The 23832-nt window shown below is 41.1% G+C and overlaps 1 protein-coding gene across 3 annotated transcripts in view, besides 1 other annotated feature; it reads right to left on the bottom strand.

Annotated features, from left to right (window-relative positions):
• The window catches only part of ARFGEF3 (ARFGEF family member 3), a 182725-nt gene that overhangs the window by 82332 nt on the left and 76561 nt on the right, over positions 1-23832 (bottom strand). For all 3 annotated transcript variants that reach the window (XR_001743524.2, NM_020340.5, XM_047419108.1), the window contains 6 exons: positions 23701-23823; positions 19338-19380; positions 16741-16819; positions 8348-8452; positions 6563-6896; positions 693-805 (listed from right to left, as the gene is read on the bottom strand). Coding sequence is in view for 2 of the 3 variants with exons in the window: in NM_020340.5 (NP_065073.3) it covers positions 693-805; positions 6563-6896; positions 8348-8452; positions 16741-16819; positions 19338-19380; positions 23701-23823 (797 nt within the window). In the remaining variant the exon portion in view is untranslated. The remainder of the gene's footprint in view (positions 1-692; positions 806-6562; positions 6897-8347; positions 8453-16740; positions 16820-19337; positions 19381-23700; positions 23824-23832) is intronic.
• Positions 10943-11112: an enhancer, noted in NCBI's record as "experimental_90581 CRE fragment used in MPRA reporter constructs". NCBI's record gives its function as "activates a minimal promoter by MPRAs in K562 erythroleukemia cells, with activity observed for both the introgressed and non-introgressed 6:138572442 variant alleles {active_cell/tissue: K562}" and the evidence as "EXISTENCE:reporter gene assay evidence [ECO:0000049][PMID:34662402]".

Genomic DNA, 23832 nt, shown 5'->3' with positions numbered 1-23832 from the left:
TGTAATCCCAGCTACTCAGGAAGCTGAGACAGGAGAATCATTTGAACCTGGAAGGCAGAGGTTGCAGTGAGCCGAGATCGTGCCACTGCACTCCAGCCTGGGTGACAGAGCAAGACTCTGTCAAAAAAAAAAAAAAAAAAAAAAGTGGTCTGCATTGAATCACACTCCTTCTTGGCTCACTGGTTTTTTGGGTACAAATAGAAGCTCCTGATGAGTATTTATGACTTTCCCGAACAACCTCACTTTTGTATTATGCTCAGTGTTTCAAATAGAAAATAGTTATAATGGTTATATAATGTGGACCTTCCTCTATAAAGTAAACATATTCCTGAACAGATGTATGTGAATACAACTATTACAAGCCCTATAATATTCAGTTTTCTAGGGGGGCTACATATGAAGAAATCCTATAGTTACAGTATTGCAAATCAAAAATTCTCTAAAATAATCCCAATGAATAATTATTGTATATTTCACTTGGTACATCTGGTTTTAAGTCAATATGAAAATATAAAAAGTTCCATGATTATAATAAATTGAGATATGTCTTCTCATGTAGCTTGTGGGTAAATTATTAAATAGACACATTTCATATAATGTAGAATTTTTTAAAATTTCAGGGACTTGTAAGCAAGGTTAAAAGTCTTCAGAAAAGCAGCCTCAATAAAGACTTAAAAGGATAAACATCATACAGTTTGAGGAGATCCAGATGAGACTTTCTTTTTGAAATTGATCTTTTTCTGGACTCTGATTCAGTGGAGCTGGGTCCTGCCAAGTCACAGAGACGCTGTGGGCTCCCAAGTATCTTAAAGAAAAAGGTAAAAGAGTAACAGAAAAGTGAATATCACAAAAAAGCACAAGGTTTTTAAATTGTGAGATCAAAAAAACATGTACTTTCCCTACTGAGTGATATAGTATAAGGAGAAACAGAATTATTTGGAACTTCCAATCTTAGTAAAGCTGATTTAGGTTTTCTTCTTGACATATGGTGTGTATCAGGCTCCTGGCTCTTCAGCTCAGGGCTGGCTTAGACAAAGAAAATGATCAGAGGGATTGTTGAAAAATCTTTTCTAGCACAGAACTAGAAAACACTTGGATCTCTGTTCTTTAGTAATATTGGCCTATAATATAACCTTCCTGGACTCTTTTTGTCTTATTTTGGTATCAAGTCGGCTAGCTTCATAAACTAGGTGGAGAAGTATGCCCTCTTTCTTATTGCTGAAAAAGTTCATGGAAGATTGGAATTCCCTGTTCCTTGAATGCTTGTATAGCTTGTTTCTAAAGCTACATGGAGCCAGAATTTTAATGGGAATCCTCTAACTAGTTCCTCCATTTCTCTAAAGATTATAGGACTATTCAGGTCCTTAATTTCTTCTTGAACCAACTTTTTAAAAGTTGCATTATTTCCTAGGGACTTATCCATTTTACCTGGTTTTCAAATAGAGTGTTCTAAAGATGCCTTAATACCCTCTTTTATTTCTTTAATGTGTGTAATATCTATAGTTAGGTACTTTTTTCATTTTTATTTCTGTTTATTTGTACCTGTTTTGAAATTTTTATTGCTCTTGAGAACAGTTTTTCAATTTTCTTAATCTGTTCAGTCCTAACATTTTCTGCTTTTTAAAATCCCCTATATTTCCTTGTCATAATTACTTTCTTCTTTTATCCTTATTTTTCCTCCTTTCTACTTTTTTTGAATTTATTCTATTCTTTTTTTCTAACTAAGCTGGAGAATTAGGACATTAAGGCTTTCTGCTTTTTAATACAAGGAGTTAAAGCTATACATATCCTCCCATTTATTTCTTCTCACAAGTTTTCATATGTAGACTGTTCATAATTGTTCATTTCTAACACATTTTTATATACATACGGTAGAAGTCTATAGAAAATGTCAAGTTGAGGCTAAATTGATTCAAGGAAAGAAGGTTAATGCAGTGTGTCTGCAGTAGACGTCCTAGCGTATGTCCATTCATCTTCAAAGTGATTGATACTCCAAGCAAAGCAGGAAAAGGTCCATTACATAGAAGAAGTTGTATTTTAAGTAGCTCTCCTCTTTTCCTCTTTCCATATTTCTTTCATACCACAGAAATTGAACACTTCTGCTCTCTGGAAGGAACATAAACGAAGCTTCCACTTTTTGTTGACATCAAAAAAAGAGTGACAAGGCTGGGGCTAAAGTCAGGCAGGCTCTCTCTTTCCCTCTCTCTCTCTCGCCCCCTCTCTACAGGCCTGCAGCCCCGTGGCTGGACCCTCTGAGCCTCAGGATGCTCCATCTCTTGCTGGAAGGATAAGTGTATTCCCAAAAGATGGAGTGGAAAACCTCACTGTCTCCTGGCATCCCACCACAATTTAAAATTCAGCTTCACTGGTAATAAATTAGATATTCACTGGTAATAAATTCGATAATTTTTTTTTTTAAAGATGGAATCTCGCTCTGTCACCCAGACTGGAGTACAGCAGCACAATCTTGGCTCACTGCAACCTCCGCCTCCTGGGTTCAAGCGATTCTCCTGTCTCAGCCTCCCAAGTAGCTGGGACCACAGGTGTGCGCCACCATGCCAAGCTAATTTTTTTGTATTTTTAGTAGAGATGGGGTTTCACCATGTTGGCCAGCCTGATCTTGAACTCCTGACCTCAGATGATCCGCCCAACTTGGCCTCCCAAGATAATCTATTTTAATTCCCACATTAATCTTGTACTTATTTCTCAATTGCTTCAGAATCTGGAGGGAAAGGGATGGATTGGTAAGGTTTCTGGAGAACCCTCAACAAAAACTAAAACGAAAGATGTTTTAATCTCAGCTTCTTCAGGTGGGAATGAGAGTTGTGGGATCAGTGGCTGGGGGGCCAGAGGTCTGATAAAGACTAGGGGGCTTCTAAAGCTGAGCCATAGGAGAGAAAAGGAAGCAAAGTGTACTTTTTCGTTACTGTTCATTTTAAGGGGAAATCAGAAGCAGAAAAGGGGCTGTGCTTTGAAAAACAAAAATGTCCTGTATGTCCTTGATCAACAGGCACACAGTGCATATGGCAGAGTGACAAAGTAAAACGAGAACAGGGAAATAACATACCAAGCCTTCAAACTCCAAAAGGCTAAACAAACATCCTGGGTACCCAGTGGTTTTCTTTGTGTGCACAAGCCCTGCACATTTTGGTATCTAGGTTACCAACTTTCCCAAACGATTGGTTTTGTCGTATAAAGTGGAGGCACCACTTTTCAGAACATCCTGGCCCCAATCAGTCTGCTGAGCTCCTTGGGGCAGCACCGCCTGGACGTGCTACTTGGGTGCTACCATCAAATTCGAGCCTCATCTCTGCAAAATGACCTTGGGAAGCTAGAACATCTACGATGAACAGATAAACATAACTAACTTCCTTTTGCAGTACAAAGGAAATTATTTAAAACACATTTAGAGACCTATGGATGCCATATGCAAAGTATCTACTTAGCATCCAGGTACCAAGTGGCTCTACTGTGGGCAGTGACTGCTGTAGTGCCTGTCATTTCTGAGGGGAAAAGAAAGGTTGCTGCTGCTTATAAAATAGCCTCTTTGTAGACATTTTGTCTTCAGGTCCACATGTCGGTCAGTCAAAAGTTACTAAACACTTATTCTGATTCAAGCATTATAGTGTTAAATACTAGGGGAAAACATACAGAAGCAATCTATATACAAAAGTATAGTTGAGGAGTCAAGAAGCTTGTTCCCCATTCTATTGTGAAACAATCAGTGTTATGGGACGTATAATCAATTGTTAAATGGCGGGATGGAATTTCAAGAAGAACCCGATCAGTGGTCTGAGGAAGCCCAACCATGAAGGACAAGGATTTTGATAGCAAAGAAGCAGCCATACTTAGAACACCAGGCTTCACTGTCTTAGCCTTACGACTCACAACATGAAGGACTTTGGGCAAGTCACTTCTCCCCCCAGAGCCTCAGCTTTCCCATCTGGAAAATGGGCATAATATTATCTTCTTAAGGGAGTTTGTAAATAAGCTAATGTGAAGTGGCAGCGGTATCTAGCCTGTTGCAATTAACCACTCAATTCTGTGAAGGGGGAGTGACCCACAGGAATAAGGGACAGAAAACCCTGAAGAGGCGGGGAGGTGGGAATTGAACAAAGCAGATCAGTCACATGGGATGAAGGTGCATCCAGGGAAGTGATGGAAAATGCAAATGATGGAAGAAGGCTCTGGAAGCTGGGCACAGTAACTCGGCCTTGATGGGAGAGTCAATGAAGAGCCATTAGAGAGCCCTGGGCAATGGGAAAATTGTTAACAGTGGTGATTTATGGACATAAATCCAGTAAGACAAAAGGAATAAAACAGGCAGGAGAGGGAGGCCAGCTAGAATTGAACCAGCTATTTTCAGCCTCCATGTGTTTTCTCTTCCTTAGAATAGCAATAAGTACACCACATATTTGTTTAGCACTTGATATTTACAAAGTACTTAAGCAAACTTTAGTGCATTTTGAACTTGCAACCTTTGGAATATTATAACAATGTACAGATGAGAAAACTCTTAAGTTCAGAGTTAAATGATTTACCTATATCACAAAGCCAGTGTGTGGTAGAGAGAGGATTTGAACCCTGACTCTTAAACTCAGGCTCCTGAAATGGGCAGCTGTTCCAACACCAAGAAAAAGGGGCTGCTGGGGGTCATTTGCGCTGCAATGTGAGAGTCATGTCCAGTGATAAGGATGATACAGGAAAAGACCGTGGGATTAGGGTCAGCTGGACCAGGGTTTGCACCTTTTCTTTTTCTTTGGGACTTTGGGCAAACCATTTGACCTCCTAAAGCCTAAGTGTCTTTGTGGGAGGAAATTTCCTTTTCCTTTGGCATCACACTTCTATGAGGAGGAACATCCATCCAGTGCAGTAAAATTCTAGGCCTCTCTTCTCCCTTCCTCTCATTTCTTCCAGGTACAGGAAGAGCCCCTGATCGGACTGGTGAATTTAGGATAAGGAGCTGAGCATGCCTCACTAGCACCTTTCTCTCCCATCTTCCCGGGGATCTGCCAATCAGAGGAAGCCCACGCTTGCCCCTCCAGGATGCAAGTTGAACAGTAGTAGGGGAGGACCCTGGGGAAGGGCCACTGCTGTCTGAGTGGTGAAGTGTGGTCTAGTCTCACTGGCCTCCAAAGCTGTATTTTATCTGCCCATCTAGTGAAGATCAATTCTTAAAGCTGGCCTTTTGACCTCCATTGCCTGAAGCTCTGGTGGGGAAAAGAAGTAACATTCTTAACTGAAAAAATAAAGTTGATGGTTGGGCATGGTGGCTCACACCTGTAATGCTAGCACTTTGGAAGGCTGAGGCGGGCGGATTGCTTGAGCTCAGGAGTTTGAGACCAGCCTGGGCAACACGTCTCTACAAAAAATACAAAAATTAGCCAGGTGTGGTGTCATGCAGCTGTGGTCCCAGCTACTCAGGAGACTGAGGTAGGAGGAACACTTGAACATAGGAGGTCCATGCTGCATTGAGCCATGATTGTGCCACTGCACTCCAGCCTGGGCAACAGAGTGAGACTCTGTCTCAAAATAAATAAATAAATAAATAAAAGTTGATATACAACCTCACAAATTTATTATGAATTAAAAAAATATATGTGAAGTGCCTGGCATATAGTAGGCAAGAAAAAGAATGGTAATTATTATCGTGGGCTCATAGATTTTCTTAACAGTCATTAAATCTGGGCTACTCCTTAATTTCTAGAAATAGTGGGTCAGAACTTTCCAATACTCATTACAATAAAATCTCATTAAAACACCAAGAAAGAATTCAAATTTAACTTCTAGATATTGGTTGGCAGCAATGATTGCTTAAAATAAATTAATCATCAACAAGGGAATTTTGCTACTCTGGTTTTTTGGAGGGGTGGGGGTTGAGATAACAAAAGGAAATGCAATTTGACCTTTATGAACATATTCACAAATACAAAAACACTGATGACTTTTCTGTTTGGTTCTTTGAGAGAAGGCAGAGGAATCTTTGTTTGAAGCACCTTCAGAATAACCCTAATTCTGCCTCAAAACCATGAAGTAGCACACTGGGATGGCTATTGCAATCTGGACAACCTGTATGTTCTTGCTGGGGTCATGACATTTGGGAGAAATGAGGCAAAAGAATGGGACAAAGGGATTCCTCTTAGCAATCAGAGACTGGCAGAGCTCTTTTGTTGGATAATGTGCAACCTGAGTATAAAATCATTTTGAAATCTAATGTTGGCAAAGGCGAATAAACACATATATCTGCACAAACAGCACGTAAGGTAGAAGAATGAAATCTCAGCATGGGCCTGGTCTGGTGCACATCTAACAGAGTCTTAACAAGCACTAGCTCGATTCTCAAACGGTTTTGCATCAGTGGGCATCACTGACCCCTCCTACCCCAGCTCGCAATACATGTACACACGCACTGACTCTAGAGACAGCATTCGCTACTGGACACCATGAGGCAGTAATGAAGTTCCGGCAAGTGATTGGCAAGCCTTTTCTGAGCGCTTCTTGTATGCGAAACGCTGGTCAGGCCCCCTTGTAAACCTGGTGGCGATCTCCAGTGCCTCCTCACCTCTTTCATTATTTTGATGGCTTCCACCCGGTGCTGGGGTGGGGGGTAGAGCAGCACTCGGTGGTAGAGGGACTGGAGCACGGGCTTCATGGAGTCCACAGACCCCACCAGCCGGACCAGCTCGGCTGCGATGTAATAGATAGTCCGAGCCACAGGTCCGCTCAGGGCCGGCGCAGTGCAGGAGCAGCCTGATCCTCGGCCGTGGTCAGACACTCCCGGAGACGCAGAGTCCGACTCCAGGCTGGTACTGGTGCTGCTGGTGTGAGCAGAGGTGATGGTTTTGTCATGAATTGGATTCCCCAAGATCACGATGAGAGCAGGGCAGAGGTTTTTCCTGGGAAGAGATGGTGAGAAAAGTAACTTTCCCCACGAGCCAAATGATAAAATTTACTCTGCGAGTAAACAGATGCCATAGAAATGACAAGAGTGCGGCTCTTTACTTCTTCTTCTTTTGGCTACATTTTGCCTGTTTTCTAAGTCTCTTTAACATTTCTAGGTATTTCAACAATACTTTTCCTCATAAATTGAGCTAGCATGAATGAAATAAAATATAAGAGAAGCATTAAGAAACCATCATAAGTGAAGAAATGGACTCAAAATGCTAAATGGCTGTTATAAAGTTTCATATTACTACAAATAACAAAATGATTTCTCATTTGAGAAGTTAATTGCAAATTCCATACTGACACCTATCATTTGGCTTCCTTCCTGTCGATAAGCCCAGGGACCCAGAACAACCAGCTGGCTGCCTGTGGGGCCTGTCACTTCTGGGAATCTCTGACTATGATTAAGAGACTGGTATTCGTGTTGAGATGGAGCTAGGGCTAGGAGTAAAGCTCAGTATCTCTTGCCCCCTGCATAAGTTACATGCTTTTTGAACGAGCTGAAAACACAGAAAAATTTTCTGGTTCTGGTCTCTCATGATCCTATGATATAAACCAAAGACGGCCCTGGAAGCATATTCTGCCATAATCATCATCAGTTTTTCTGCGGAGTTTGGTCTGATGGATGTCAACAAAGCAATTTATCTGCTTTATTATTATTATATATTTTTGAGACAGAGTCTAGCTCTGTTGCCCAGGCACGATCTCGGCTCACTGCAACCTCCGCCTCCCGGGTTCAAGTGATTCTCCTGCCTCAGCCTCCCGAGTAGCTGGGATTACAGGCACCCGCCACCATGCCCAGCTAATTTTTGTATTTTTAGCAGAGACAGGGTTTCACTGTGTTGGCCAGGCTAGTCTTGAACTCCTGACCTTGTGATCCGCCCACCTAGGTCTCCCAAAGTGCAGGGAGCGTGAGCCATTGGGCCCGGCCTATTATTATTATTATTATTTAATTTTTTTTTTTTTTTGGGACAGAGTCTTGCTCTGTCACCCAGGCTGGAGTGCAGTGGCTTTATCTCCGCTCGCTGCAACCTTCACCTCTCAGGTTGAAGCAATTCTCATGCCTCTGCCTTCCAAGAAGCTGGGATTACAGGTGCCCACAACTGCCATGCCCAGCTATTTTTGTATTTTTAGGAGAGACGAGGTTTCATCATGTTGCCCAGGCTGGTCTCGAGCTCCTGGCCTCAAGCAATATGCCTGCCTCGGCCTCCCAAAGTGCGGAGATTACAGGTGTGAACAACTGCACCTGGCCACAATTTCCCTGCTTTCCCTCTAAGACATTTACGCACAGATGAAACTACTACTGGTGGGTCATGGACTTCATGGAGAGGGACCCAGAGACACAGTCAGCAGCAGCCCTTGGGTTGGCATCAGCGTCGGGGCGTCAGGAGTGGGTGCTCACCAGATCAGGTCCGTGAAGCGCCTGTGCAGGTGCATGGAGGAGGAGGAGCTGCTGAGCACAGACAGGATGCACTCCAGGTAGAGAAGCTGCAGCTGCTGGCTGTCACTGCAGAAGAGCAGAACCGACACAAATGCAGACAAAAGACAAGGCAAAATTAAAGAGGTGATGTGTGGAAACACGCTCGGAAAAATGGTAGGCGTTACTAAAGTGCTAGTTTTAGGGGGACGGTTAGTGTTATGGGTTGAACTGTGTCTCTCTCCCCAAATTCATAGGTTGGAGTCCTAATCTCCAGCACCTCCGAATGTGACTTTATTTGGAGATAGGTCCTTGCAGAGGTGATCAAGTCAGACTCAGTTCACTAGGGGGGATGCTAATCCAACATGACTCTGTCCTTAAAGAAATGGAAATTTGGACACAGAGACATTCACTGAGGGAAGACAGTGTGAAGAGACACGGGGAGAAGACAGCCATCTACAAGGCGCGGAGAGAAGCCTGAGGAGATCCTTCTCTCTCACCTCTCAGGAGGAACCAACCCCACTGACGCCTTGATCTTGAATGTACAGGCTCCAGAACTGTAATACAATAAACTCTTGTTTAAGGTACTCAGTTTATGGCACTTTGTTACAGCAGCCTCAGCAAGATAATACAGTTGGGGTGATTTTTTTTTTTTAACTAATAAACTTTACTTTTTAGAGCACTTGGAGATTTATAGAAAAACTGACCATGAAACATTTATCATATTGAACCTATTGTTAAATCTTACATTGGTATAGTACACTTGCCACAATTAATAAAAAATTGATATATTAACTAAAGTCCATAGTTTATGGCAGAAATGCTAATTTTTATATTATCTAAACCTTTCAAGAGACCATTTACCACATTATCTTTTCATTGGTGAACACTTTGTGAACTTGCATTAGACTTTTCTTCTTTACTGAGGAAACATGATTTTTCAGTGGAGAAATTATTTTGTGTCCAAGTTATCATTATGGGGTTCCTCATAGAGGAACAGAGCCAGATGAAGAGAACAGACAGCTTTATGGGGAACACATTCCTAATATCCAGATTAACTTCTCTGCCCAGCCTACCAGAAAGTATTAAAATCCAGGCAGGTGACAAGAGTGACAGATAGGGCTAAGGAAGAATTTAATTTTCAGGGACATGTTTATTGCAAATATATAATAAATCCTTTTTTAGAGAGTTCACTCAGTAATGTGGGATGGGAATACTCAGAAAAAGGAAAAACTTGCTTATAAAAATAATTTTTGGTTATGTCTCTTTCTCCTAATTTAAAATAAATGTCCAAAGGAAGTCAGGAAGTCTAGTGTCTTTAACAGTTCAAATTACCCCCAGGAGAAGGGGGTGGAAGGAACAGAAAGGCTCATGCAGGCCAACTAGAAACTTGAAGAGATAGGAAGGAAGTAAAGAAAAGTTAACAGTAGACAGTGCTAAGGCCAGAGGTTACATCCACACAACTGCCAAATTGAGAAAGACCACACAATTGTAAGACAGAGGATAGTGAGGGGGTGGAGTCCTTTATGTGCCATTTAATACACTGACATTGATATTAGTATTTATGTGCCATTAAATACACTGACATTGATATTATGCTCTAAAGCCCTTTGTCAAAATTCTTCCATGGTCTGTCCACTAAAAATACTGTTTTTATTTTCTTTTAAGGTTTATAGAACTAAACAAAAACAAAGAGACAGTTTGTAGCCCTTTATAGAAAAAGGTTCCTGACCCATATTCTAAAATCTCCCTTGTCCAAAGAAAGCTGTATAGTGATTAAATAATGTTATTATTCTGTAGAAGGGAATGCCACTTATATTTGGATATACTCTGTCTACCACGCCCTTTGAGGGTGGAAGAAGAAATGGGGAAAGGCTGAGTCTCCACAAAAGTTATTACTATTTGCCAAGAGGAAGGTGATGGATGGAGGAAGAGTAAGAAATGATGAGCCATTCTTGAGCCAGGTAAGGACTTCACATTTCTAGGCTTCTAGTCCTACAAGCTTCCCTATGCTTTTGACCAAGACGTAGCTCCTGACATGAAACAGCATGTTTCTTCACTCTTACGGGACTGGACAGACATATAAGCAAGTAGATAAAGCACTGGTAGGAAGGGCTGTGAATGAATACCTTAACGCAAGGTTCTATGAGACCATATGGCAGGAGCAACTTCTTAGAAAGAATGTCCACAGGACATGCTGTCTTAGTAGATCCTAAAGTTCAAGTAGGAGACTGTGGCATGGTGAAGCAGAGGAAAAGGTGTGACAAAATATCAGGGTGGAGGAGGAAGGGATTTGGGCTGAGAGGTTTGTGGCTAAAGCACAGGGTGTGAGGGTGGTATCAGCCCAAGAGGTGGACAGAGGCCCGATCAGGAAGGGTCCTGTAGGCCACACTAAGATGTCTGGAACTTTATCTGGAGGTAAAAGAGTGATATGACCAGATCTGTATTTCAGAATGTTCAATTTGTTTGCTTTACGAGGAAGAGAGTGGACAGGACAAATCAGAGGGCCATGGTGTCAATTGTAAGCCATATTTAAAAAATCACTTCTGGAAGGATTGCCTTCACTGTAGTCTCAGTTAATCATTCTGACCAATCACTTGACCTGTTATTAAGAAGAAAAATTATGAAATGCTCCAATTCAAAAATTTCTCTTTTTCTTTCAAACTGTCAGTCTAGCATCACAAAACGAAAACAACTATAGACAGGAAAGACTCTCAATTTCTGAAATCATTGGAAATAAGTCCATAGAAAAGCTATGAGTCATCAAGCTATTGGCAAAGTGTGCCATGGTGAATACTTCAACCCCCAGGTTATCAGACTCGCTGACAGGGAACACATTGCCAAGGTAACTGGCCTGAGAGTCTCCTTGGAGACTGAACGCAGCAGCTTTTCCGTGGGTTGCGGCAGTCTGGAAAACAGATGATCGTGCCCATGCATGAGTCACACCATTAAAGGAGCTGTTTAAAACGTAAGCACCTTCCACTAGATACACACACGCACGTACGCAGCATGTATGCGTGTAAAAGCTGTCCTTGTACAAACAAGTAAGTAGAATGCACAAGGCAAAAAGTAACCTAGAAACCAGCCAACTCTTTCAAAACACATGAGGGAAAAATCTGTCTACTTAGGAGGGCTGTAAGTCACTTTTCTTGGTCTTTTCTGTGAGCATTTCATGGTTGGCAGGCTTAGTATCTGCTGGTCTCATTCTCTGCTCATCACTGAACTTCTTCCCAGGTGCACGATCTGTGGAGAACAACGCTCAGGCGTGGACCCGCAGGCCGTGAAGGCAAAGCAGCCACCCCTCCTGGCAAGGCTACTGGGAGGGCAGCCTAGCACGTTTTGTATCTCTGGAGCTCTTAGAGTTTTGTTTTGAACCATTTTGACTTTGCTTTCCTTAGAAATAGATTTGAATTTAGTTAAAGAAAGGAGAGAAGAAATTAAGTGTGTAAGGAGTGAAATGGAATTAAGACAGACAGTGGGAATGCTTTGGCAGGCCCCATCTATTCCAAGCCTGCGTTGGTATAGGTTTCGCTCTAACATTCTCTGTTCTAGGAGGAGAGAGAAGCAGGGAAAGAGTGGTGGGAAACAGGCAGAGAATAAGTAAGTATCTTTCTAAGTCCAATTATCCTTCCAGAAATTCTTGGATTTAAAAAGCATCATGTAACTCAACTTGCCTAACATAGGATTCTATTAATACCACATCTCCAAGGCATGCGAGGGAGTGTTCTGCGTACCTGAATACATTTTCTGAATCCTCCCAAGAGTCCAAGCATATCATGAACACACACCCCTACAGAGCTAAAGCCCTAAGAGGCACTGATTTTGGAAATGGCTGTTGAGGTTAGTAAATACTGATTCTGGTGTGATTTCAGAGGAATCGCCTATTCAGAGAGTAGAAGAGGCATCCAGTTTAGCTAATAGAAATAAAGGAATTAAGTTAGTAAAATCAGAAGCAATGGTACACAAGTAAAAACTTAGCAAGGAGAATGAACAGAAGCACCAGACTGAGAGCAGCTGGTGCACGGGACTATCTTACCAGGTGGACATAAAGGTCTTCCCTTACAGCTATGCTAAGCATCCTGTGCCCCCAGCATCTTTAGCAAAAGGCCCCCATTTTAGGGTAATGGAGTCGTGATGGCAAATACCAAAATCATACAAAGCAATCAATTTCTAGAGGCAGAACTATGACCAGGGGAATTGTACTGGAAAATCAAACAAGACTGAGAATCCTATAAAATCATTAAGCTCTAAAATAACATGCCTAAAGCCATCTTTGATCCAATGTACAATGAGAAATCCTAGAAACATATGCACATGAATTCTTTTCTCCATTTAAAACCTATTCTCAAACTCCTGACCTCAAGTGATCCACCCACCTGGGCCTCCCAAAGTGCTGGGATTACAGAAGTTAGCCACCAAGAGACCAGCCTAGCCAACATGGTGAAACCTCGCCTCTACCAAAAATATAAAAAATTAGCTGGGTGTGGTGGCGCATGCCTGTAGTCCCAGCTACTCAGGAGGCTGAAGCAGGAGAATTGTTTGAACCCAGGAGGTGGAAGTTGCAGTGAGCCCAGATCACGCCTCTGCACTCCAGCCTGGGCGACAGAGTGAGACTGTCTCAAAAAATAAAAATAATAATAACAAAACAAAAACAAAATACCTATTCTTAAGTCATGTGGTTAAGAAATGCTTTGTTTTTCAGTGACTGATTGAAATCTACAACCTTTAGTTTCTAATATGTATGTGTGTGCATTTGCAGTGTTTGTTTGTACAATGCATTTTCCTAACAATCTACAGTCAAATTTCTGATGTACACAGCCCAGTGTTCTTAACTGTGTGATGACTAGAATTAGCAGCAACTATTCTAAAAGCAAACAAACCAGTTTAAAGCAAATGTATGTCAAATATTTACTACATGAGAGGGATTCCTGGAGCTGATGGGGGTTCCTGGGTGGCTGGAACCATCCAGGTTTAAAGAACCATGAACTTGAACCCCAGAATGCCAGGCATTCACTGGACCTACTCTAAGACTCTTTTCTGACTAAGGAACAATGGTATGTTTTAAGCCTATCCGTGTTGGGCCTACAGACTCATTCTGCCTTATCTTGCTGGCTAGGGGACTTATTTATTTTATTTATTTATTTATTTCGGAGTTTTGCTCTTGTTGCCTAGGCTGGAGTGCAATGGCGCAGTCTCAGCTCATGCAACCTCTGCCTCCCTGGTTCAAGCGATTCTCCTGCCTCAGCCCCCCTAGTAGCTGGGATTACAGGCACCTGCAACCACGCCTGGTTAATTTTTTGTATTTTTAGTAGAGATGGGGTTTCACCATGTTGGCCAGGCTGGTCTCGAACTCCTGACCTCTAGCTAGGTTTTAATTACTAACTGGCATAACTACCATGAGCCTCTCCCACGTTTCTAGCACTTAAAAACTCCAGATTTTTCCCTTAGAAAACTACTCAGAAAAAAAGTTTAGCTAATTAGTTTTCCCTTGCTTGTGAAGTAACAAATGCAGTCTTTATATTTTTTGTAGTTCTGGTGGTCTTCGTTCTATTCCCTGCCAATGCTAGGACCTGGGGGTGGAGCAGGGGTAAGGGAGAAGCACCCCCGACAGCTGGAAGTACCTGGCTGCCACCGGCGAGGCTGTGGTGTCCCCTGGTGAACACAAACAAGTTCACAGGGTTAAGATCAGATGAGGACTCACCATGACTGCGCTGGAACAGGATGAAAGCCAATCAGCGGCCATGCCTGAACAGAGGTCTTCTTTTTTAAAAGGGCTCTATATGACCACAAAAATGAACAAATGTCCCTCTCCCCTATGACTGACTCCCACTTCTTCTTCTATGACAACTCTAGCTCCCATCTGTTCATCCTGTCTGCTAGAAAAACTTAAGATGCCCAGTGCTAGAATTGCGCCTACTTTCTGACAGCACCCAATCTTTGAACAGAACGCTCAATTTTTAACCCATTCTAAGTCACCTAACTCATGTTAAAATCCTATAACAACCCTTCCTAACACCCTTTTACTGTCCTGTGGTTTCCCGTGGTGGACAGGCTCCCTCATATAAGAAGTTACTAAAATGAATCCTGTTAACTTCAGGTGTTCCTGGAGCTCTTTGGCTGATGGGCATTCCCAGTCTTTTAAGTGAATTTTCTCACTCAATCTTACAAAAACATGAATGCGTTTTATATGACTGATATTATATTCTATACAATATTATAGTAATTATCATAAGAAATAGTCTATTAATTATTTTATAGGATACACAGACTTAGGGTGGTTCAGATCTTTGTCCAAAGTCACATGCCAGTAAGGGGCAAAGCGTGGGTTTTAACCCAGGTAATCCAACAAAGATAATGTAGTTGAGCCAATAGTGATTAAACACCACTCTTGATTGGGTCTCAGGAGAAAATATGCCAATAGAAACATATTCCAACTCTGCTATACCAGCTGTCTGTGTTATGATGGAGGGGAACTGGACGGGGATGAGGACTTAGCACTAGAACAGATCAGACCTCTGGTCATTGATGGGTAGAGTGAACACATGACCTATCCAAACCAGAACACCTTTGAGAGTGAAGGAGGGTAATTATAATTATTACACAACAGGTAAAATCTGGGACTGTCCCAAGCAAAGCAGGTGGCATAGGGGCCTTACAGATGGGGTCGCTGCAGTTGGTGCTAGAGCCCTCAGTTAGGATGGTAATCTGAGTGCCAGCTCCACTGTTCCAACACGCCATGGTCAGGAAAGATGGGCACCTAAGCAGGGTACAGCAGGAACTATTTACATCCATCTGCTGTAGGACTCAGCCCTCCTGAGCAAGGGGAAGCCCAGACCTGCTGTCTGCCTAGCCTGCCAGGGTCCAGGGATGGGAGAAATTTGAGGGTGGGGGTAGGGAAAAAGTTAAGTGCTATTTCTTTTTGGTTTATGCTATCCATGTATTATATAGGCTTTTTCATTTTTAAAAATAAACTTTATTGTGCATATTTAAGGTTTACAACATGATGTTATAGGATTTATATATATAGTAAAATGGTTACTATAGTGAAACAAATTAACATATCCATCATCTCACACAGTTACTCATTTCCTCCCACTACCCATCCACATCCCAGTGGCAAGAGCAGCTGTAAGCTACTCATTTAGCAAAAATCCTGAATACAATACACTATTAATAACTATAATCCCCAAGTTGTACATTTGATCTTTAGACTTATTCAACTACACATTTGCTACTTTGAATCCTTTGCCTTATATCTCCCCGTTTCCTCTCCCCTACCCCAACCCTGGTACCACTATTTTATTTTCTATTTGTGCCTTGAAGTGCCTCAATAAAGAGAGCTTACTTTGGTCAAAATATAGAGGTGACTTACAGGAACAACAGAAGAATTGACGAAGAAACCATTTGGCAACAACTTTTAAGAGTAATTCCATGTTTAGCTTTAAAAAATCCTAAATTTCTGAGAAACCAAAAGCAAAACAAATAACAAAATGAGTTTCTGCAATGTTTCCAGCAAAGTGAGAGTCCTCATTCTTGCCTACAACTAGACTATTTCTCCCAACTCATTACTGCATTTAAAATTCAACAAGTGAGTTTTCTGCATTATCAGATGTCCTAGTTACCAATGAATGATAGTTTAATGTCTTTCATGATTCAAAGGACACTTCAGAATTGTAATGTGTTGTAGAATTTTGCAATTCATGGCATATGTAGCTGGTGGAGACTTTTCGCCCCATGTTGAAAGTCTGGTGTTTTATGATTTGGCTTTACTACAGGTGCATAGGTTGTCTTGTTAATGACTGCACGGAAAGATGGAGCAGCAGGCATCACCTAAGTGAACTCAGATATTGATTAAGCTGATACGCAAAACAAAACAAAAAAAAGTAAAAGAGTAACATGCTCTTTTTAAAGACAGTTGTGTGAGCTCATAGGCTCTGGAATGTTAGAAGAAATAGAGCACAGTCCAACGCTGTCATTTGGTAGAGGAAGAAAGGGCAGCATGGTTTGATGAGAAGAGTCAGGCACCGGGACACAGCTGAGATCTGGCTGAGACAGGACTGGCTCTCATACCAACCAGCACTCAGCCCAGGATTCTTCCCACTCAGCTTCATGCTCCATGAAGCAATTGTTCTCTGTAAGGTATCATCTTCCCATTGTCACATCAGAAAGTTATATACTCTAGTAATGGTATTTGGTTATTTGAACTGCACCAACTTTCAGAATATATTCCTTAGTAAATAACAGCGTTTAGGGTGTGGAGGGGGGAAACTATTGTCCCTATAATCTTACAATCCATAATTTGAAGTGATGCTGCAGACAAAGGTTATTTCAGAAGTAGACCACTGGTAAAGAAAAGCGGCAGTGGTTAGGGCACTTACTTTATGGCGGCTTGCAGCTTCTCACACAGGACGGTGAGTACAGAGACAACATCATCACAGAGGGACTCTACTGTTGACCCTTCAAAACAGAGGAGGTTACAGGCATGAGACATCGACAGGGGGCACGACGAGCTCCCTGAACCATCCTTCCCATCCTCCACTTTAGATGGTTTTTGAGACTGAAAAGATGATTTTCAGATGTGGAGAAGCCCTTAGGCCACCAAAGTGATGATCACAGAAATGATAAGAATTAAGTGTGATTATTCTTTTGTTTGTTTGTTTATTTTTTGGAGACAGAGCCTCACTCCGTCACCCAGGCTGGAGTGCAGTGGCGCAATCTTGGCTCACTGCAACCTCCGCCTCCCAAATTCAAGTGATTCTCCTGCCTCAGCCTCCTAAGTAGCTGGGATTACAGGCGCCTGCCACCACACCCAGCTAATTTTTTGTATTTTTAGTCGAGACAGGTTTCACTATGTTGGCCAGGCTAGTCTTGAACTCCTGACCTCAGGTGATCCACCCACCTCGGCCTCCCAAAGTGTTGGGATTACAGACATGAACCACCGCGCCTGGCTTATAATTATTCTTTCTAAAGCAAAACACGCAAAAGATAGTCCAGAAAGAAAATAGATTGTTTCTTATTAATAAAAATCACTCACACTTAACAAAGAGAAATTTAGTAATTTCAAAAACATCTTGATGGACAAGAATTTTCTTAATATTTAGGCCAGTGGTCTATGTGTGTATTCCTTATTCTGACCCTTGAATTTCTGGGTCTTCTGAGCTGTTTAGAATGGTATCACAGAGAGATAAAATAAGGTAGCATGGGAAAAGATGGGCTTTGGAACTAAGAAATCAGAGAAAAATGGGGTGAAATAATTTAGCCAAATCTTTACCTACTTTATTTGTTGAGTATCTGCAGGGCACATGGTCTTTGTTGATACTGAAGCAACAGTCAATGTCAGAAAAATAAAATTTCCCTCTAAATGTGTTCTAGTTTCCAGCAACTAGAACCAAAACTCCCACAGAAGCAGAGTGGGAAAAAGGCTGAAATCTGGAATCTGTTCAACTACATATCGAAAACTGCTGATTGTGTGAGCTTGGGCAAACTTCAGTTTTTCTTCTGGCAAAAATGGGATAAATAATACCAATTTCACAGAATTGTCAGGCTACATGAAATAGTAAGTGGAAGCATTTGTTTTCTAAAATAAAAAACCTGTAAACGTCTTTACAAATGTGGCTCTAAGTATCTGATGAATGTATAAATGAATGATGACGGTACGTCAAGGAAGATGGAGAGAAAATGGCAAATGTGTAAGAGAGAAAGTAAGGTTGGAGGAAGGCAGGGAAAGAGAAATAAATGCCTGGTCCTCAGAATTAAGATCTTAAGTGCAGCAATAAAAAAGAAGAAATAAGCTACAATGATAAAACATAGTTTAATAAAACCCACACAAGTAGTCCTTAAGCTCAATTTTAGACAAACGCCAAATGAGTCCTCTGTCAATTTTTTACTACTATATTTTTTAGAGATGTATCCTTGACCAAGAAGTCGCAGACCCCCTTTTTTTAGTTTATAAAATCATCCTACATTAAAGTGAAGCCTTTATGAGAACACCATAGCCAAAAAGAGGAAAGGAAGATGGAACATCTTAGCGCACGTCACTGAGAGCATCCAACTGAAAAGGGCACCTTCCAGTCCGCGGCCCAAGAATGTGGCATCATGGGACTGAAACAATACTCTAGTGAAACAACTCTAGTGATGCTTTAGAATGTGACTTAAGGCGTGTCTCTTCCTCATTTCTTTCAAATACTCTTCCTCTCCTAATTGTGGCTATTAAGCTGTTTCTCTCCTTTTCATTCTCTCCCTTTTTTTTTCCCTCCTCCTCACCTCCATCTCCTTCTCACTATTATTAACTGGCACATATAATAGAAAAGCAGATTTTTGCAGTATTTAAAAAATTACTGAACAAAGTCTAAATTTCAATTTTTTAATCAGATATTTTTGCATACTTTCAGAAAACAATATTATCAAACCTGTTTTTAAAAATTAAATTGCTGGTTAATTATATATGTGGACTTCTATATTTTTTCTTTTCCTGTGGGTCAGAATGAAAGTTCCTTAACTTGATTTCAGCTGATCTTTAAATTGGGCTGTCTGCAAGAGGCCCTGTGAGATGACTCATCATTCATGTCAAAAAATTGGTATTTGACAAACACAATTCTGGTGCAATAACACTGTATGCCAATCAGGTTTCTATAATCTTCTATCTAGTTATTCTCATTTTAGCAATTAAACCTGACTTCATGGAGAATGAAGTAACTAACAAAGCCCGCCTCCAAATGAGAGGTATGTGAAGCGTTAATTTCCCTCAGGTAGTTAGATCAGGAACAGGTGTGGTTGGCATAAGTGAACGTAGGAACAGAAGGAAGACAACAGCTGATTAAATAATGCCACCTAAGGCAAAGCCAAGCACAACCTCCAAGAGAATGGTAAAACAACCGAGAGCTCCTAGACATCTTTGTACCCCTCACTCCAAGCACACAGTAGGCATTCTCACACCTGCTTTAAAAACTGAACTAGTACAAATCAAATGCCATACCTTGATTCCCGAAATCCTGTGGGACATCTGGGTTTTCAATTATCTAGTAAGGGAGATACACACACACAATTAGGAGATTCAGGCAAGAAAAATCTTGACTCTTTGACAATGGGAAAATTCTAGGAAACAAAATGGCTTCCGGGGTGCCCTGGGCTCGGCTACCTTGCCTGAGCCCACCCCTACCCACCAGCTCTTGAGAGCGTTTCATTATTCACGGTGTTTATGAGACAGATTATGATCTCTGGAATTGAGCTTATCAGTTCCCAAAATAATTCAGTCACGTTTGTGTGGACACTCTGGCGTGGATACTTCCTGGAAGTTTAAACCCTGTGGTGCACTTAAACTCGCAGGATTCCAAGATGCTGGGCTGTGACCTGGGGCAATGCCTACCTGAAGAGGTGAGTTAATTTCGCACAGAGAACAACCTATTCCAAGGCTACAGCTGATACTGTGCGTGGCCCCTAATAAACACAGACTCTTGGCCATAAGAAGGATTAGGTTCCTGGACTTCAAAATACAGGTCCAAAGATAACCACTGGTCAGAATCTCCATCTTTGTATTTGATGGGGAGCATTTTAACTGTACCTAGCCAGCTGCTCTTGGCTAGGTACATCCAGAACTATGAGGGCAGAGACAGAACTGTGAGGGAAGGGAAAATAGGAAGGAAAAGACATTTACAAATAATCAGACTTACTTCCCATTGCAGGGATAACTCAGTGACTACTGAGAAGAGACTAGGAAGGTGGCACTTTATTCTCCTTACCTCTTTGCACCAAGAGATAATCCGGAAGTATTTTCATGCCAACTAATTACCGGACACGTAACTCATCCCATGGTGCTGATTTAATTTTTAAACTTGCTACAGGCACGCATTTCTACCATTCTCTGCTCATTAATTTGCAAGCTCAGCTGCTTCCACAACAACTTTTGCGAAATGTTATGTCAGTATCTACAGCTCAGAATGGCTAAAGTCAAGTTGAGAACAACATTCCGGAGGAAGCACATTTAAGTCATATTTAAGGGTAGGAGAATCCTTCAACCTTTCAGCCCCAAATATTTAAATGTAGCAACTTTACTTTTTGAAATTAGTAACTTACAACTTAACAATAGCTTAGGTTACCTAAAATAATTCAATAATAAAGCTGGATAATATGTAGGATTTGTGACGATACAAAATCAAAATTATCGTCTGTCCTGGCATGCAGCTGGGGATAAACATTTATTAGGTTGAAGATACACATCCTGCTAGTGATTTTGGCATTCTACATTATTTATTTTCTTTCCACTGCATTTAACCTTCCTAATTTTGAGGTGGCCCATGATGTCTTTCCAGTTGATAACTGAAATGAGTGACTGAGGCAAGTATCTCAATCAATTGAGTTTTATTAAGCCAGCTTTAGGGCACGCCCGGGAAAAGTGTGAGCTGCTGACACACCTGTGGCTGTCTGCACCTGTGGCTGTTTTTCTGAAGAGGCTTTCAGGAGGTTTTACATTTCAGGAGGTTTCTACATTTCCTTAAAGGAAGGGGGAAGGCATGTAGGAAGAAGGGCAGGTAGGCAGTAACACGAATGGTTACATGCTTGTGAGATTTTACTTAGTGCCCAGTAAATCTAAATTTTACATAAGGTGAATGTTTGAAGAAAAAAATGGGAGTAACGGAAGAATCAATTATGCAGATATCTCTGGGTAGACAGAGGAGTGATGGATCTTGCCTTTATTCTGCACCTGGGAAGATGGGCTTGTAATCAACTTTATCAGTGTGGAATCAAACAGATTTTAGTTTTAGGCGCTAGACCTAGATTGCGGATCTAAAGTTACAATAGGCATGTCCTTGTTTACGGGAGGCCAGCAAAGATTTGACTTGAGTGATCTGTGGGGGCAGTCATTTGGATATACTTGAGGCCTTTTACCCTTCTGAGGTGGTCTGGCTAATGCATAACGCTAGTAGCAGCATCTCATTCGGAAGAGGGTGTTACATGACTCAGCCTCCAGGCTTAACCTTCCCTTTGGCATAAAAAATTTGGGGGTCCTGAGATTTTAAAAATTTTCTTTTGCACAGTGATAGGCCGTGCTAGAAAATATACGCATCTTCCCCAGGTAATGCTCAGTGTTTCCCAGGGGAATACGTGGCCTCTTTAGAGCAAACCCCTCCATTCCTATAGATGATTCCACTTTAAGAGCTTTAAAAAAAATACGTAAATTCTTATGCGGCAAAACTTATGTCTCCCTCCATTGGACATCACAAATGCTTCAAATACCAGCAACCTGAGACCTATGTTTTCTGGGACATGGAATCACATCTCCAGGGACCGCATGAGTAATAGAAAGGAAATAACAGGAAACACCAATTTTCCACCTAATTTGAGATCTTGCCTCCGGTTGGGGTGAGTCCAGATGGTCCGTGATGAGCAGGACCAGAAGGCTGTTTAGCCACATAATACCCAGGATGGAGACAGACAGCCTCTACAGTATCACCTGCACCTCCACAGCCATACCTTTGCCATTCTTATGGAAGAGCAGTATGAGCTAAAAGGCTGGGATATTTGACTGGAAACCTAATACTCTCCTACTTAAAAATTTTAAAATAAGATTAAATGAACTCATATAATTGAAAGCACTTTGAAATTACAAAGTTTGATTTAAATGATGTAAAATATTAGGATATTATTAATATAGTGTTTGATCATATTGTCATTTAGCATGGATGAAATATGAGTGTATATTATAAGATTTCTCAACATCTTAGATTTATCTCAATTAAAATTTTTTTCTCTTATTTTCTATTTATGTATTTTAATTTCTTTTAAACTAAATATTCCCATACTAGCTATATCCAAAATCCTACTATAAATAAAATTGTTTTTAGCAAGCTGTAAGCTAAAGTAATAAAAATATCTCAAGTTAAAACAATTTTTAATAGAAACTGGGGCTTTGGATACAGCAAACAGAAAAGAAAAAAAATCAATATTTGTTTTTTCAGATTAGTGTTGTTTTCAACACTGGCTGCCAGAGCACATATTAACTGAGAACTTGCACTGGCAGTCAGCTAGAGACCAGGGGTTTACTTCTGGCTCCTTCATTGATAAGCTCATTCATTTTAGATTTCGATTTCATCTTTCTGAGTTTCACCTTCTCATCTATAAATGAGGAAAAAAGAATTTGACTAGATCATCTCTAAGGCTCTCCTCAATTCCATGATTTTCTAAAAATTAGAAAATAATTGAAATTAAAAATAATTACAAATAGTTGAGGTTAAATAAGAAATCCTAATTTTTATAAAATTAATTTCAGAGATATCTGGGACTGTAACTGAGATTTTCTTTCTTTTTTTTTTTTTTTTTTCCTGAGACAGAGTTTCACTCAGTCACCCAGGCTAGAGTGCAGTGGGCATGATCTCAGCTCACTGCAACCTCCACCTCCTGAGTTCAAGCGATTCTCCTGCCTCAGCCTCCCAAGTAGCTGGGATTACAGGTGTGCACCACCACACCCGGCTAATTTTTTGGATTTTTAATAGAGACGGGGTTTCGCTATGTTGGCCAGGCTGGTCTCAAACTCCTAACCTCAGGTGATCCACCTGCCTCGGCCTCCCAAAGTGCTGAGATTACAGGTGTGAGCCACCACGTCCAGCTGTAACTGAGATTTTCCATTTGAACAAATAACTAATGTCATTTCAGAACACTCCTTGCAGATTTCAAAAGGATTTTAATCTAAATTATGACAGAGGCAGATTTTAAAACAACACAAAACACCAATTTTGAAGAGGAATCACTCTCTCATTAACATTCCCAGAAGATAATATATACAAGGAGCCAATTACGTTTACATTTTCCCCTGGAATGCTCACTTTAGACAATCTGTTCAAGTTTAGAGCAAAAAGCTCTAGTGGGCTTTGATGATAGAGAGAAGACAAGTTTAGTTTCACCCTGAAGGCCCCAGCAGGTGAAGGAGGCCTCCTGCCACCATCTTTTAGTTAACAAAGGGAAACATACCCAACCTCAAAGCATGTAATAAATTCTATTCATTTTTCTTAATTTCAAATTTACTTCCAATATTTGTTAGTGTATCGCAATGTTTCTAATAAAAATTTTCAGTATGAGAAGTTTTAAAACAATGATTAAAAAATAAGTTTTAAAATAACTCAAAAAATCACGGAAACTGCAAGGAAAAGCAATTCTCAAAGCTTTAGGGTGAAATAGGCAAACATCTAAAGAGCTTAATGTGTACAAATAAATGTTCTGTTAAAACAAGCAAGCTCTTCCTACTGTTTTCAGGAGGCAGGCAGCCCTGGCAGTGGGGGCCCCGGGGCATGGGATACACAGACACCACCAGGAAGGTGATGAACATGGGGGTGTCACAGACTCACCGTATTCTCCTGCCTCTGTCGTAACTGTAAAGTCAAGTCACTCAGCATTTGACTGAGAGTTGCCCGCACAGCAGTGTTTATGCTACGCTGGTGACAGCTGCTTATGTACGTCTCAATGCACACCTGTTAAAG

Source organism: Homo sapiens, chromosome 6 (genome assembly GCF_000001405.40).
Source record: "Homo sapiens chromosome 6, GRCh38.p14 Primary Assembly".
In the NCBI taxonomy this organism is placed as follows: Eukaryota; Metazoa; Chordata; class Mammalia; order Primates; family Hominidae; genus Homo; species Homo sapiens.
This window is presented reverse-complemented; position numbering and strand designations above follow the sequence as displayed.